Raw genomic sequence first — 14839 nt, 5'->3', positions numbered from 1 at the left:
AGCAAGACCCTGTCTCAAACAAAACAAAACAACTACAGAACTAACATCCCTGATGAATATAGATGTGAAAATTCTCAACAAAATACTAGCAAACCTAATTCAGCAGCATATTAAAAAAAGGATTACACACTATGACCAAGTGTGACTTATTCTTGGAGTACTAAGACGGCTCAACTGAAAATGGATCAGTGCAATACACAACATTTCCAGAAGGGGAAAATCTCCCACATAACCATCTGAATTGATGCAGTGGCAGCATTTGACAAAATTCAACACATTTTATGATTTAAAGAAAAACACTTAACAAACTAGGAATAAAAGGAAACTGCCTCAACATTACATAATAAAAGCCATATACGAAAAACCCACAGGAAGGGTGCCTGTTTCCCCACTGCTATTCAGCATAGTACTAAAAGTGCTAGCCAGAACAATTAGGCATGAAAAATAAATGAACTAATAAATGAATTCAGCTAAGTAGCAGGATAAAAAATCAATACATTGTTCATGCTAACTAACAATGAACAGTCCAAAAAGCAAATTATGAAAACAATTCTACTTACAGTAGCAGCAAAAAGAATAAAATAAAATATTTAGGAATCAGCTTAACTGAGGAGGTTAAAGACTTCTGTACTGACAACTACAAAAAAATTGCGGTAAGAAATTAAAGAAGACATAAATAAATAAAGAAGACATCCCATGTTCATGGATTGGAAGATGTCAATAGTACTCAAAGTAATCTACAGATTTAATTCTACCCCATCAAAACCACAAAGCCTTTTTTTCTCAGAAATGGAAAAACCCATCCTAAAACTCATATAGAATCTCAAGGGATCCCAAATAGCAAAAGCAATGTTGAAAGAAAAGAAGAAAGTTAGAGGACTCACACTTCCTGATTTCAATACTTACTACAAAGCTATAGTAATCAATAATTTCATAATCTGGTAAACTCACTATAAAGCTACAGTGATCAAGAATACAGTAATCTACAGTCTGTCGTCATACCAGTGTGGTACCCTGGACCTACATGTCTATCTTTATGCCAGTACCACACTGGCATAGAGACAGACACATAGGTCAATGAAATAGAACACAGAGTTCAGAAATAAACCTTCACATATATGGTCAAATAATCTTTGACAAGGTGCTGAGACCGTCCAGTGGGGAAAATAATAGTCTTTTTGACAAGCGGTGTTGGGAAAACAGGACATTAATTTGCAGAAGAATAAAGCTGGACCTTTTGCCTCACACCATATACAAACTACAAAAACCTAAATGTACAATCTAAAACTGTAAAACTCTAAAAAATAATAATAAGACAAAGCTATACAACTTTGGATTTGGCAATAATTTCTTGGATATGACAACAAAAGCACAGGCAAAAAACAATGTCAACAGAGTAAAGAGGCAACTCACTAGATGGGAGAAAATAGTTGCAAGTTGTGTATGTGATCAGGAATTAGTATCCTTAATATGTAGAAAACTCCTAAAACTCTACAATGAAACAAAAAGCTGATTCAAAAATAGACACATGACTTGAATAGACATTTCTCTAAATAAGTACTCAAATGGGCAATATGTATATAAAAATGCTTGACGTCACCATTCATTAGGCAAATGCATATCTAAACTACAATAAGGCTGGGGAACAGTGGCTCACACCTGTAATCCCAGCACTTGGCGAGGCTAAGGGATTGCTTGAGCCCAGTTCAAGACCAACCTGAGCAACATAGTGAGACCCCCCCACACCACTTCTCTAAAAATAAAATAAAATAAAATAAAATTTAAAATTAGCCAGGCATGGTGGTGTATGCCTGTATTTCCAGCTACTCAGGAGACTGAGTAGGAGGATCACTGGAGCCCAGGAGGTCAAGTCTGCAGTAAGCTATGATTGCACCACTTATACTCCAGCATGGGAAACAGAGTGAGACCCTGTCTCAAAAACAAAAAACAAAACAAAAACCAAACAAAACTGCAATGATATACCACCTAACACCATTAGGTTGGTTACTATATTAATAAAACAAACAAGCAAACAAAAAAACACACAAAAAATCCAGAAAATAACTAGTGTTGGCGAGGATGTGGAGAAACTGGAACCCTTCTGCACTGTTGCTGGGAATGTGAAATGGTACATCCACGATGGAAAACAGTATGGTGCTTCCCCAAAAAATTAAAAATAGAGTTACCCAGCAACTAGATTTCTGCACATATACCCCAAATAATTGAAAGCAGGCTCTCAAAGAGATATTTGTATGCACATGTTCATGGCAGCATTATTCACAATAGCTAAAACATGAAAGCAACCTGTATTAGTCCATTTTCATGCTGCTGATAAAGACATATGCAAGACTGGGTAATTTATAAGGAAAAAGAGGTTTAATGGACTCACAGTTTCACGTGGCTGGGGAGACCTCACAATCATGGCAGAAGGTGAAGTGCACATATCACATGGCGGCAGACAAGAGAAGAGAACTTGTGCAGGAAAACTCCCCTTTATAAAACCATCAGATCTCGTGAGACTTATCCACCACCACGAGAACAGCATGGGAAAGACCTGCCCCCATGATTCAATTACTTCCCACTGGGTCCCTCCCACAACATGTGGGAATTGTGGGAGCCACAATTCAAGATGAGATTTGGGTGGGGACACAGCCAAACCATATCACAACCCAAGTGCCCACTGATGGATAAATGAATAAGCAGAACGTGGTATGAACAATGGGATACTATTTAGCCTTAAAAAGGGATGAGATTCTGACACAGGCTGCAACATGGATGAATCTTGAGGACACTGCACCAAGCGAAATAAGCCAGTTGCTAAAAATACAACTACCACAGAATTCCACTTATATGAGGTAGTTAGAGTAGTCAAAATTATAGAAACAGAAAGTGGAATGGTGGGTACTAGGGCCAGGGGAAGGGAAATGATGAATTATTGTTTAATGGAGACAGAGTTTCAGTTTTACAAGATGGAAAGAGTTCTATACAGATGCATGGTGGTGATGGTTGCACATCACGAGTGTATTTACCACCACCAAACTGTACACTTAAAATGATTAAGGTTGTAATTTTAAGTTATATGCATTTTACCACAATTTTTAAAAGTTGAAAAAAAGACAGAAGTGAGGGCAGTGGTTGCACTGGGGAGAAGGAGGAGGGCAGTTACTGGCGGGGGCTTTGGAGGGGTTTTTGACACAGTGTTCTACTTCTCAAACCAAGTGGCAATTACATAAATATTGCTTTGCTTTTTAAAAAAAGATTGTGGCTTTCTTCTTCCTAGAAGACTGTGTGTTGTCCTCTTGTCTGGCGTGCTTTGTTGATAGAAGCTGCACCATGGGAAAGCCTACATGGCTGGGAGCTGAGGGTGCCTCTGCCCAACAGCCAACGAAGAGTAAGCTTGGATGCAGACTTCCTCAGGCAAGCCTTCAGATGAGACCACAGATACTGTGCTATTGTCCTGATTGCAGTCTGGTGAGAAGCCAATATGCAGAGGACTCAAGCCACGCCTGGATTCCTGACTCATGGCAATGGTGAAATACTGAATGTTTTTTAAGCTGCAAAGTTTTGGGGAATTTTGTTATGCCCCAATAGGTAACAAATAATGCTATGTACAGAATCCTATGTTACTACTTATTTTATCTTGTGACTTTGAAAAAAATCGATATTTGACTATTGCTTGGCTTTTATCATTGTAATTGATAGGCTGCTTTCATGATAACTGCTTTTGATGTAATCTGAGTGGTTTTATTTTTCACTTTAAAATTTTTTTGTCTTTTGTATTCTGTAGTTTTACTCCTAAATGTAGAAGTGTAGTTTCATCTTTTTTCCCCAGCTGAAGTCTCACACTGTTCCTGAATCTTAGGATTCACATTTTTCATCAAGTATAGAACTTTCTTAGTGATTATCTTTTTAAATACTGTTGCTTCCTCATTCTTCTAATCATTCAGAATGGAACTCTCATAGATGTTTGGGATCTCCTCATTCTGTCATCATGCTCTGCCTCGCATCAGAAGTAATTTCTGCATATACCACAAATTCAGCTCTCAGCTGGGTCTAAATTGCTTTTTAAACTCACTCATTGAGTTAATTTTAGCAAGCATGGTTTTTCATTCTAGATATTCCATTTAGTTCTTCAAAACTGCCTATTCTTCTACCACTCCCTTGCAATCGTATTCTTGTTCATTTACTTCTTTTATTCCTGTAATTCTTACCCATGTTAAACATGTTTAATTAATGTTCTCTTTTTTGCTTGATTCACCTTTTGAAGGCCTTTGGTGGCGGAGTCCGTTCCTGCTGTTCACACATCTGCTGACTTCCCTCATGTGGTTCTTTCTTGGCATGTTTTGTACTTTATGATTGTAAATTCATCTTCAGTGGGCTTTATGGGTAGGAATTGGAGGGGGCTAGATTGATAATGTCTACGTGATTTTGCTTCTATCACTGTGCCTGCTTCTGTCATGGGCTTCAAGGGTATTACTAGCCTGGGCCCAGGTTTTATATCAAGTTATTTGCTGCAGGGGTGGTAGGGCCTGGACTGTGAAACCTGTGAAAATTCGATACCTAGGCTGGGCACGGTAGCTCATGCCTGTAATCCCAGCACTTTGGGAGGCCAAGGTAGGAGGATCACTTGGGCCCAGGAGTTCAAGACCAGCCTGGGCAACACAGCTAGACCCTGTCTCAAAAAAAAATTCAATACCTGAAGTCTAACAAGGCTCTGAGTCCTGATTATCAATTGTCATCAAAACTGTTTCTGTCTCACAGAACCACAACAGGCAGGCAAACACAGAACCATCCTGTTGTCTTCCTGTTCCTGTGGGCACACTCATTCACATCTCTCCTGATGGCGTAGCCCTTTGAGTGCCCTTGTTCCAGTTCCTGATTCACGTGGATCCAGGGAGGCCTCGTCTCCTTTCCCATGTGAGTGTGGAGACTTAAACCCCGGGGCTCCAGACGAACACTCTCCTGGGCTGCTGCCCTTTGGCTCTCACACTTTAAGACCTGGTTTTCAGCCTTCTGTTTGTCTCTGGTTCCTGTCACATCCCTGACCTCCTTGTGAGCTCAGCTCTGCATCAAGTTTGTTGTTTCTATCTTGTGCTCACAAGTTCTGTTCTGGGAGGCTTTTGGGGTTAGACCATCACAGGTAAAGACAGAAGGGGAAATCTACTTTTGCACCATTTCTAAGATCAATTTCTAGGCTTGTTTTCAGAACATTTGCCATCCCCCTCTGTTCTGGTTTGAATAATTGTCCCCTCCAAAATTCATGAAGTTTGATTGTCATTGTGATGATCTTGAGAGGTGGAACCTTTGAGAGGCGATGCAGCCACGAGGGCTTTGCCCTCCTGAATGGGCTGGTGCTATTATCATGGGAGTGGGCTTCTTATCAAAGGGTGGGTTCAGCACTCTTTTCTCTCTCTCTCCTTGCCCTTCTGCTATTCTGCGATGTGATGATGCAACAAGAAAGCCCTCACCAGATGCAGCCCCTTGAGGTTGGACTTCCCAGCCTCCAGAACCATAAGCCAACAAGCTTCTGTAAGCTGTCAGTTACCCAGTGTGCAGGAGTCTGCTATAGCAGCACAGAATGGATGAAGACATCATTTTGCAATCCTACAAGAAAGGTGTTCTTTTGTACTCATTTCATCACTGGCTAAACTGGACTCTGGATGGCTAAAGTAACAAGGCAGGTCTGTCTGCTTCCAGAGGACCTGTCCTGCTGCGGCGGTTCTGGGCTCCCCTGCGCTTTGTGGCATTTTACAGCTTGCAGTCATCCTGCAAGGTAGATGTTACTTCTCTTCCCATCTTATGGCTGAAAACCAAGCCTTACAGCAGTTATACAAGTTATGTGGCAGTTTTCAGCGATTGTATTAAAAAATATTTTAGGTAAACAATGTGGTGTATATACGCAATGGTATACCAGTCAGCCTTACAAAGGAAGACAATGCTACCATATATGACAATATAGATGAACCAGAAGGGCATTATGTGAAAAAACCCAGGCACAGAAAGACAAATGCTGCACAATCTCACTCACAGGTGAAATCTAGAAAAGCTGAACTCACAGAAGCAGAGGGTAGAATGGTGTTTACCTGGGGCTGGGGCCGGGCAGTGATGTTGGTCAAGGGATACATTTCAGTTACATTGGAGGAATATGTTCTAGGGATCTATAGTAGGACATGGTGACTGGAAAATTGCTAAGAGAGTAGATGTTAAGTGTCCTCACCACACCAAAAAACAAAAAGTATGTGAGTTAATGCATGTTAATTAACTTGATTTAGCCATTCCACAATGTATTCATACTTTAAAACAAGTTGTAAACAATATATACAAGTATTATTTGCCAATTAAAATACATACATTTAAAAATATTTTAGATATTTGTCCATTTTTGTTTCAAGTTTACTTGCTGGTCATTTTATTGTTAAAAAATTCTTGGTTGTTTTCGGCTGGGCACAGTGGTTCATGCCTGTAATCTCAGCACTTTGGGAGCCTGACGTGGGTGGATCACCTGAGGTCAGGAGTTCAAGACCAGCCTGACCAACATGGTGAAACCCCATCTCTACTAAAAATACATAAAATTAGCTGGGCGTGGTGATGGGTGTCTGCAATTCCAGCTACTCGGGAGGCTGAGACAGGAGAATTGCTTGAATCCGGGTGGCAGAGATTGCAGTGAGCTGAAATTGCACCATTGCACTCCAGCCTGGGCAACAAGAGCGAAACTCTGTCTCAAAAAATAAAAATAAAAATGACTGGTTTTTTTTTCTGTGTGTACATGACTGACAAGACCAGTGGTTTCCTTTAATACCTCATCGACGTTCCCAGGCACTTTTTGTATTTGAGGTGTGTGAAGTAATAGGTTGGCCCTTGTCTTGAGCGTGATACTGAACACACCGACTAATAAAATGGGGGCCTTTGGCTGCACACCAGGCGCTCTGGGTACTGATGAGCTCGCCCCCAACTCCATGCCAGGAATCAGAACGGTTGCCCGGGAGAGTCGGCAGAAAGAGGAGGAACCGGATGCAGTGATCTACCTGGTTTGTCCTGGTGTCCAGTAACTTGGAGTTCTTCTTTCACACGTGGCTGGCACAGAGGAGACACTCATAAATACCCGAGTTGAATAAAATAGTCCATTGACATGGAGTCGCATGAAGCAGCATTCGTCCATCCAAAACGCCGATGCTTCTTTAGAGTGGACTGAGTTTTCCCCCAATACTAGGTTGTCCCACGCGATGGACAAAAATAGCCCATGTGGCAACGGAGGCTGGCCGGGGGGACCTAATGCCCATGCCTCTGGCATTCCCACCAAGGTGACTGTCCAGTAGCTCCCAGGACAGCCCATCCGTGTAGGGCAAACGCCATGAGCCACTCCTGTGTGCAGGCACAGGGCAGGCCCAGGCACAGGGAGGCGGGTGGGCAGGCACACAAACAGCCAAACGCTGACCCTGGAGGGCGGTGGTCATCTGCTCATCACAGGGGAAAGACTGGAGGTGGGAGAGGCAGGTGCCACCCGCAGGAGTTGGGACGAGCTGTGCACACGGCTGGGCACACGCAAAGCTGAGCCTTCTTCGTGAGCAACACGGTCACATTTGGGTGTAGGAATCTTGGCTGGAGTTGCCCAACGTGGGGAGCAGACAGCTCTGCAGCCAGGACCCCAGTTGGAGAAGGCAGCGCTTGGAACAAGCCAGGACAGTGGACAGACGGGCCGGTGCCAAATAGAAGTCATGATAACGCGCTGACAAGCTGTGCAGACGAACACTGTGTGTAGACGGAGGCCATGGAGAGTGACGATGGGGAAGACGCTGGATCCCTGGCTGGCCTGCATCCCTCTCCGTTCTCAGTTGCCTGTGGAATTCCGGGGAGCTCTGCTCCAGCTACACTGCACATAAAAGTGCGCAGGAAGTGGATCCTGGAGAGGAACTGTTCTTCTGGACTGAGCTTGCTGCTCATGGCAGCCCCACCTGCAGGACCCAAAGCCTTATGTGATGTTTGCTGGACACTCAGCCACGTGGCTGCCTGTTGAGCTCTGCAAGTCCACGCGGGAGCCAGGAATTCCTCCCCAGAAGTCTCTCCATTATATTCACCACCCCCTAGTAAATCACAACCTGACTTGCTGCAGAGGATGGAGTGCCTGGGACTCGTCTGACCCCAGCTCCCCTGGGGAAGTGGGGGTGGTACGTCCCTGCACCCGGCCACGTGCTGCCTTCTCCTGGGCTGCCTGTCCATGCTGAGCAGACAGGAAAGTCCAGTGAGGTCCCTGCCTGTGCACTCCACCAACCACATCGTCCCTTCCCGGCAGCCTCACCTAGGCCCCTCCAGCTACGACCCCTTGTCCCCTGCACCGATGCCTGGCCTTGGAGGTTGCTGCTCATTTTTCTGGAATTTTTTCTTAGATCTCTGCAGGGCTGCCCCTCCCCCTACAAGGGCTCCACACGTGTTCCCTCCTTCATGACTCCCACTGGGCTTCCCCGACAGGGCCTCACCCTCCCCAAAGCTCTGGTGACACCTGCCAGGTTTCCTCCAGGCCACAGCTCGGCAGCCCGATCTTAGAACAGAACGTGGCACGCAGGGCAGGTCTGGCTGAGGGCCCAGCATTGTCAGCGGGGTTGGAGGTCTTCCCGGGCCTCGAAGGGGAGACGTAGGCTTCTCAGGGCAGCCCAGGACGCGTCCTCACGAACCACAGCGAAATTACAGCAGGTATCTCGCGGATAGGAGTCTGCATCATTCCGTCTCCATGCCGTGGTTTCTGAAATTATGCAACTATCTCGGCATTCCAGAGGGCTCAGAGTAGCCACGCGCAGAGGCCCTCCCCATGGGGTGGATGGAAGCGTCCACTCGCGGCGCGAGGAATATCCCTGGGCCCCTCGGGAGAGTCTGCAGGGGCAGCCCCTGGGTGAGCAGGCCCAGTGCGGCCTCTCCCTGAAGGGACTTTCGGGCCCTCCCGGGTCGGGGCTTCACCGGTAGCAGGCAGGGCTTTGATATTAATGCTTAAAGGGAAAGCAGAGCTGAGCTGTCAGGACGTTGGTTAGCTACAAACCCTACTCTTGTTAAAAGAGAAATGGGGTCGGGGAAGGGGTTCTCCAGCCCTGAACTTCCCGGGCCGGGCAGGACGCGGTCCCTCCAGGAGTCGGGGCTCCCCCGCCTGGGGACGCACTGGGGCAGGCGCGCTTCTCCTCTCGGGGTCCCATGTGCCGCCGGCTCTCGGACGGTAAATCAGGGCTCGGGTGGGGGCGATGGGGGGCCCGCGGCCTCGGTGCCCCTGGCCAGCCTCGGAGGCGCACGGGCCAGGCCGCGGGGCGAGAAGCGAGCGCGGGAGGGCGGCAGCTGGCGGAGCGGGAAGGGAGCGGGGCGGCTGCGGCTGCGGCGCGGAGGAGCGCCATTTACGTTCGGGCCCGCGCCAGGCGCTGACGTGGGCGGCCCTGTCTCGGCTTCCGGGCCCGCAGGGTCCTCGGGGCGGACGGCGCTCCCGCCAGCGGCGCTGAGTCCGGCCCGACCCTGCCCGACTTCCTCGGGGACAGGCGGTTTAGAACGTGCGGAACACCAGGCCCGGGGCCTCCGCCGGGCTGCAGCCCCGCGAGCTTCCCGCCAGGCTCCCGCCCCGCCCCGCCCCGCAGCCGCGTCCCGGCCGGGCGGGCCCTGAGCCGCCCGCGTGAGTCCGTGCGCCGCCCGCGCTGGGAACCAGGAGACCAACCGCGAGGCCCCGCCCGCGCGCGCCGCCGTGTCCCCGCCCGCGCGGTCGTCGGAGCGCGGCTCAGCGGCGCGGCGGAGACTCGGCACGGCGGCGGCCAGGCGCAGGCGGGCGGGCGGAGCAGCGGACGGCGCCGAGGCCGCCCCACGCGCCGGGCTCGCGGCGGCGCAGCGCGCCGGAGTGGTCGGGGCCCGCGGCCGCTCGCGCCTCTCGATGGGCAGCTCGCACTTGCTCAACAAGGGCCTGCCGCTTGGTAAGGCCGCGCGCGCGCGCGTTTCCGGCCGCGGGCGGGGGCGGGGCGGGGCGGGTGCCGCGCGGGCGGGGGGCGCGGGGGCGGACCGAGCGCGCGCCCGCGGGCCGCCGGCTTTGTGTGCGAGTGCGCGTGCGCGCCGGCGTCCGCGCGTGGCCGCGGTCGGGGGCGGGACCGCGGGAAGGGTCTTGCGCATGCGCGGGCCGCTGCGTGTGCGCGAGCGCCGCAGTCTGCTCTCCCCGCCCGCGGCCCGTGCAGGTGACACAAAAGGGCCTGTGGGCCTCTGGGCTGCCCCGCCGGACCCCCAGCTCCACCGACCCCAGCCCCGTCGGACCCGGGACGGCACCCCGGGTCCCGATCCCCGGCCGCTACCCCGTCCCCGGTCATGACCCCGTGGCTGGGCCTGCGGGGCCGGGATGGGGCGGGAGCCGTGCGCAGCTCGGGGTGTCCTGGGGCGCGCGCTCCCGGGCCACTCGCGGGAGCGCGCCTCCCGCGGGGAGGCCGCCGGCGACCGTGGCCGCGCGCTGTGGGGGAAGGGGACGGGGCGCGGGTGCCGGGTATGACCGTGGAGGAGGCCGCTGCCCTCAGACCGGGCCCAAAGCGCAGCCCCCGGCGGTGACGCGGGAGGGCCCGGGGTCTCCGTTCCCGCGAACTCCGCGAGGTCCCGGACCGGCCCAGCGCCCCCACCTGCCCTTGCCTGGGCCCGCCCAGGTCCCGGGGCGCCTTCCTCGCGGGCTGCGGCCGCGGAAGCAGGGAGCACGGGCGGGCGCCGGGCTTGCCACCATCGCCATCTTGCAGCGCCCGCGTCCTGGGCCGGCCCGAGCCGCTGCGCGGAGCCTCTCTTTCCCTCGACCCGGCTGCAAAGGCAGAGTCCGTGCGCCTGAGCCCCGGGCCGAGACTGGAGCGTTCTCTGGCGGCCTCCAAGGGCGCCGGTGTCTGGAAGCCCGGCCTGGGCCAGATCCCTTTTGCTGTCGTCTCCGTGATTGCCGGGACAGAATTCCCTTCCAGTGGGGAAAAGGGAAGGCGGTCGCGCCCTTCCCGGTGCCCTGAGTGGGGAGGTGAAACCCTGAGAGTTGGGGCAAGAGGGCCTGGAGCTAGGGCCGAGGCGGCGGGTGCGCAGGGTGTTCCGTTGAGCCCGAGCCCCCCCCCCCTCCCCGGCCTCTCCACCGTTTCTGTAGGAGCGCGGCAGGGAGCACACGTCCCTCGGGAAGAAAACGGCGCTGGCGGCTGGGCCCGCACCGCGGCCGTCCTCGCTGAGCTCCTAGCGCGTGGCCTTTGCGCGTCTGTGTACCCGTCTGCAGCTTGGGGCAGGGTTGGGGGAGAACCGTGGGGTAACTATTTGCCGTTGCAGCTGAGGATGACAGCTGCGGTTTGGGGGTCCCCCTTTCTGTGTCCTGGAACTTTGTAGGGCGTGGCTCTGCCCTGGGCCTCAGCACCCGGCCTCCCAGGTCTCCCCTGCCTGCCCGGGCCTGGCCACCTCCCTCTGGGGTCTGGGTTTGGCTCCTGGTTGGGGCTGTCGGCTCCGCAGACGCCTTTTGCTCTCTGTGATTCTGTTGCCCATCTTTGAGCACCTGCTTCCATACAGGCGTCCTCTGCAGAGCTCTGGGAGGGACACGCACTGGGGGTGGCATCTGGTCACTCCTGGGGGTGCCTCGTCCGCCTGCCCGGCCATTTTTGGGGTGTCTGCCATGTCCCCAACATGCACTTCTTCCTGTCAGCCTTGACCAGGGCAGCTGTTAGTTCTGAGAGGTGGGCGTGTGGTTGGGGATGTCAGCGAGTAGGATCTTCCCTTTTACTCGCTTGTCATTAACCTGAGAACGTGGCAGTGGGGGAGGAGAGGCTTGGCCCGGGGTGCACAGGACTGTGGGCTGGTCCTGTCCCTCTGATGAGTGGGACGAGCCTTGGTCCAGTCCTGTGGGCTTGGCGCAGAGCCGGCCCCCTGCCATGTCCTGGTGGGATTGGAAGTGCTGGCTCGTCCTGTCTGCCTCCCCCAAGGGCTGGGAGCCCCCCACTCTTTGGACATTTGTAGTGTAAGCAGACAGCAACTGTTAACCATCATTCTGTTAATAAATTTTTTCTGGAGGAACCCTGGACAGAAGTAGTCATGCTCTCCAGGAAACGGGCCCCAGGCTCGAGAGGCCCAGTCTCTTCCCTCGGGGCTTAGAGGTGGCCGTCAAGCCACACCTGGTTCCCCACCAGCCTGGCAGTTTTTCTGGTTTTTCTCCTCTGACTGTCACTTGCCCTCTCAACTTCCTGCGGCCAGTACCCCCAGAATGTGACCTGGTCTGAGCTGACGGTGGTGTCACTGAGCCAAGAGGCGTGTGGCTGGCACCACTAGTGTTGCTGAGAACTCTTCAGGCAGCACTTTGTGCCCGGCTGTGCCCTGGTGCTCCCCATGCAGTGCCCAAGTCAAAGGTGTGTGCCCTGTGAGGTGTTTACCCCGGTTGACTCTCCTTGTAGAAGGACTTAATGTTTCCCACTCCACTGGGGGCTGGAGAGGGCTCCATCCAGGTGGTGCTGACGGTGCAGGCCTGGCCCAGGGCCCAGGGGTGGCCAGGAGGTGGTAGAGGCAGCAGGCAGTGTCATACGGGTTCTGTGGTTGAACTGCATCGCCCAAGGGAACGCTGGTCGGAGCGCCGGGTGGAGCGCCAGGGTCCTCTGGTGGTCGCTGGATGTTGGTAGTTGTGGGTAAGAGCTCTGTGCCGGGAGTGTCTGGACCCCCGGGTCCTCCATTGTCAGCTGCAGTGGCCGGAGCCCACTGCTCTCCCCCGCACTGGGTCGTGGTAACCCACAAGGTGCCACCTGCGTCACTGACCATCGTTTCCAGAAGCCCCTCCGGCCACACATTCCATGTGGTATCTCCCACAAGGAAATGTTCGTTTTTTTCCCTGTGAAGCCAGAAATTTCTTGGTGGCTCTTTGCCGAGCCAAACGTTAACCTTGAGTTGTCTCTCTGGGCGGCCCCAGGTGGTACCAGTTCTCACGGGTGTTGAAGGAGAGTGAGGATGGCCCTGAGGGAAGCCCAGTTGGTTTGGTTGGGGAGGCGTTGGGGCTATGGCCCTGAGAGAGGTGTGGGCGGTGTTGGGACCAGGCCCCTTCTGCACCCTCCCCTGGCACCGCCGTTAACTCTCCAGGCCTGGTGTGGCCCAAGCCACCCTGCCTACCCGTGCTACCCTACCCACACGTGCCACCCTGACCTGCTTGTGCCATCCTGCCCGCCCGTGCCACCCTGCCCACCCGTGCCACCCTGCCCTGCCGCCCGTGTCACCCTGCCCGTCCATGCCACTCTGCTATGCCGCCCGTGTCACCCTGCCCTCCCGTGCCACTCTTCCCTGCCGCCCGTGTCACCGTGCCCTCCTGTGCCACCCTGACCTGCCGCCCGTCTGTGGTGTGGGGGCTCCTGGGCTGCCCTGTCTGCGTGGCTGGCAGGAGCCTCAGAGGCATCCGAGGCTGTCTCTCCAGTGGTGTCGTGTGTAGACTGTGTTGGGAAGGGGAGGAAGGTGTAGCCCTGATACCCCACATGTGGTAGGAGCCAGGAAGGTGGCGTTCTGGGGGTTCCTGGAGCTCACAGGTTGTGTGCATGTGCTCGCTGAACAAACAGGGAAACGTGCGGCTCCACGGATGTCCTGGAGAGGAATCTTGCTGGCAAATCCATGCCTTTGATCACAGCCCCTGCGCTGTGTCCTCTGAGCTGTGATGCGGCCCTGCAGGCCCCGTGGAGTGCGGTGGCTCCCTGGCTCACAGGGATGCTGCCGTCCAAGGTGCCGTATCGGCTCGTGGATGACTTGGGCAGTGTCTGTCTGGGGTGCTGTCGTCGGAGGAGCTGTTTCAACCTGTGGGTGACGGGCCTTGTCTGTCTGGGGGAGGTTCTCTTGGCCCCGTGCTCTCAGCCCAGTGGCTCCATGCTGCTGTGCGGCTCCCTCTTGGGGGCCTGCCTTCTCTGCCATTGCAGGGCAGGGCCTCAGTTTTCTCTGGGCGGCAGGTGGCTGTATCTCAGGACTGGAAGGCTCCGGGTCAGGCTGTGCACAGCCTTCGTTCATGTCAGCCCCTGGCTGGGCAGCACCGCCAGGCCCTAGTCTTTGGGCCTCCAGGCCTGGACAGCCAGAGGGGGCATCTCACCAATGCCCAGATGGCTGCCGGGGACTCACGGCAGGGCAGCTTTGTCACGAGAGGGCCACTCGAGCCCGGAGTAATCAGGGCTTATGGGGACAGGGCAGGGTGAGGGCCGCTGAGACCACCCAGCCTTAGGGTGCCCTTCTGGTGGTCGGGGAGCCCTTCCTGGGCAGCGGCTTTAGGGGCTGCTGTGGGGAGGGGGAAGAAGATGGGGTTGGTGAGGAGGAGCTTTTGGGACACTGTCCTGGTGGAGGTCGTGAGGGAGGGGAGCGGACCGGTTGGCCCAGCAGGGCTGGCCAGTGGAGGGACGTGGAGGGTTGGTAGCTGCCGAGCCTGGGTCTGAGCAGGCGGGGATGAGGACCAGGTGCTGAGGCTGGGGAAGGAACAGGGGTAGCTGCTTGGTCCTGGCGCATCTTGGTGCCCCCTGGGACTTCCTGGAACACCCCCCCCCCAGTGCCCAGAGACCCACTGTGGCTGTCTGGATCGGGGCAGGTCCCAGCCCATGGTGACCCCCAGTGTGCCGGGGCAACCCGGTCCCTCTCCAGACCAGAATGGACCGATGCCCAGCACACACGTGGATCGGGGCGGAGTGGGCAGGCGTGGCCAACAGGAGGGAGGATCCGGCAAGCAGATGGTGATGTGCATCCAGAGACAGGGCGTTGACATGTGGCCAGGAGGCTCTGGGGTCATCGGGCCGCCACCGTGCAGCCCCCCGGGACTTGATGCCTCCAGAGAACCTGGGGGCTGCTGCCCCTCACCTCACCCCCATTTACTTTAAAATCAGTTTTTGTTTTAGAG

General features: G+C 54.0%; 1 protein-coding gene and 1 long non-coding RNA gene across 12 annotated transcripts in view, besides 4 other annotated features; one reads left to right on the top strand and one right to left on the bottom strand.

Moving 5' to 3' along the window:
• CTBP1-DT (CTBP1 divergent transcript) lies at window positions 5841–9408 on the bottom strand. Its single transcript, NR_033339.1, has 2 exons — window positions 9376–9408; window positions 5841–8737 (listed from the first exon to the last, which is right to left on the bottom strand). It is a non-coding gene; the product is annotated as a CTBP1 divergent transcript (long non-coding RNA).
• Window positions 8440–8529: an enhancer, noted in NCBI's record as "active region_21151". NCBI's record gives its function as "activates an Ori minimal core promoter by ATAC-STARR-seq in GM12878 lymphoblastoid cells {active_cell/tissue: GM12878}" and the evidence as "EXISTENCE:reporter gene assay evidence [ECO:0000049][PMID:35858748]".
• Window positions 8493–14839, top strand: part of CTBP1 (C-terminal binding protein 1) — a 38911-nt gene continuing 32564 nt past the window's right edge. For 4 of the 11 annotated variants that reach the window (NM_001328.3, NM_001377186.1, NM_001012614.2 and 1 more), the window contains exon 1: window positions 9718–9932. In NM_001328.3, coding sequence (NP_001319.1) covers window positions 9893–9932 — 40 coding nt within the window. In that variant the 5' untranslated portion in view covers window positions 9718–9892. Of the gene's footprint in view, window positions 8689–8857; window positions 9200–9717; window positions 9933–10119; window positions 10641–14839 lie in introns of those variants that run through there. The other 7 variants (NM_001377192.1, NM_001377189.1, NM_001377193.1 and 4 more) reach the window with 4 other exon arrangements.
• Window positions 8590–8639: an enhancer, noted in NCBI's record as "active region_21150". NCBI's record gives its function as "activates an Ori minimal core promoter by ATAC-STARR-seq in GM12878 lymphoblastoid cells {active_cell/tissue: GM12878}" and the evidence as "EXISTENCE:reporter gene assay evidence [ECO:0000049][PMID:35858748]".
• Window positions 9010–9939: a silencer, noted in NCBI's record as "silent region_15125". NCBI's record gives its function as "represses an Ori minimal core promoter by ATAC-STARR-seq in GM12878 lymphoblastoid cells {active_cell/tissue: GM12878}" and the evidence as "EXISTENCE:reporter gene assay evidence [ECO:0000049][PMID:35858748]".
• Window positions 10110–10829: a silencer, noted in NCBI's record as "silent region_15124". NCBI's record gives its function as "represses an Ori minimal core promoter by ATAC-STARR-seq in GM12878 lymphoblastoid cells {active_cell/tissue: GM12878}" and the evidence as "EXISTENCE:reporter gene assay evidence [ECO:0000049][PMID:35858748]".

Source organism: Homo sapiens, chromosome 4 (assembly GCF_000001405.40).
Source record: "Homo sapiens chromosome 4, GRCh38.p14 Primary Assembly".
Lineage (NCBI taxonomy): Eukaryota > Metazoa > Chordata > Mammalia > Primates > Hominidae > Homo > Homo sapiens.
Note: the sequence above shows the minus strand (reverse complement) of the source record. Positions and strands in the feature narration are given on the sequence as shown.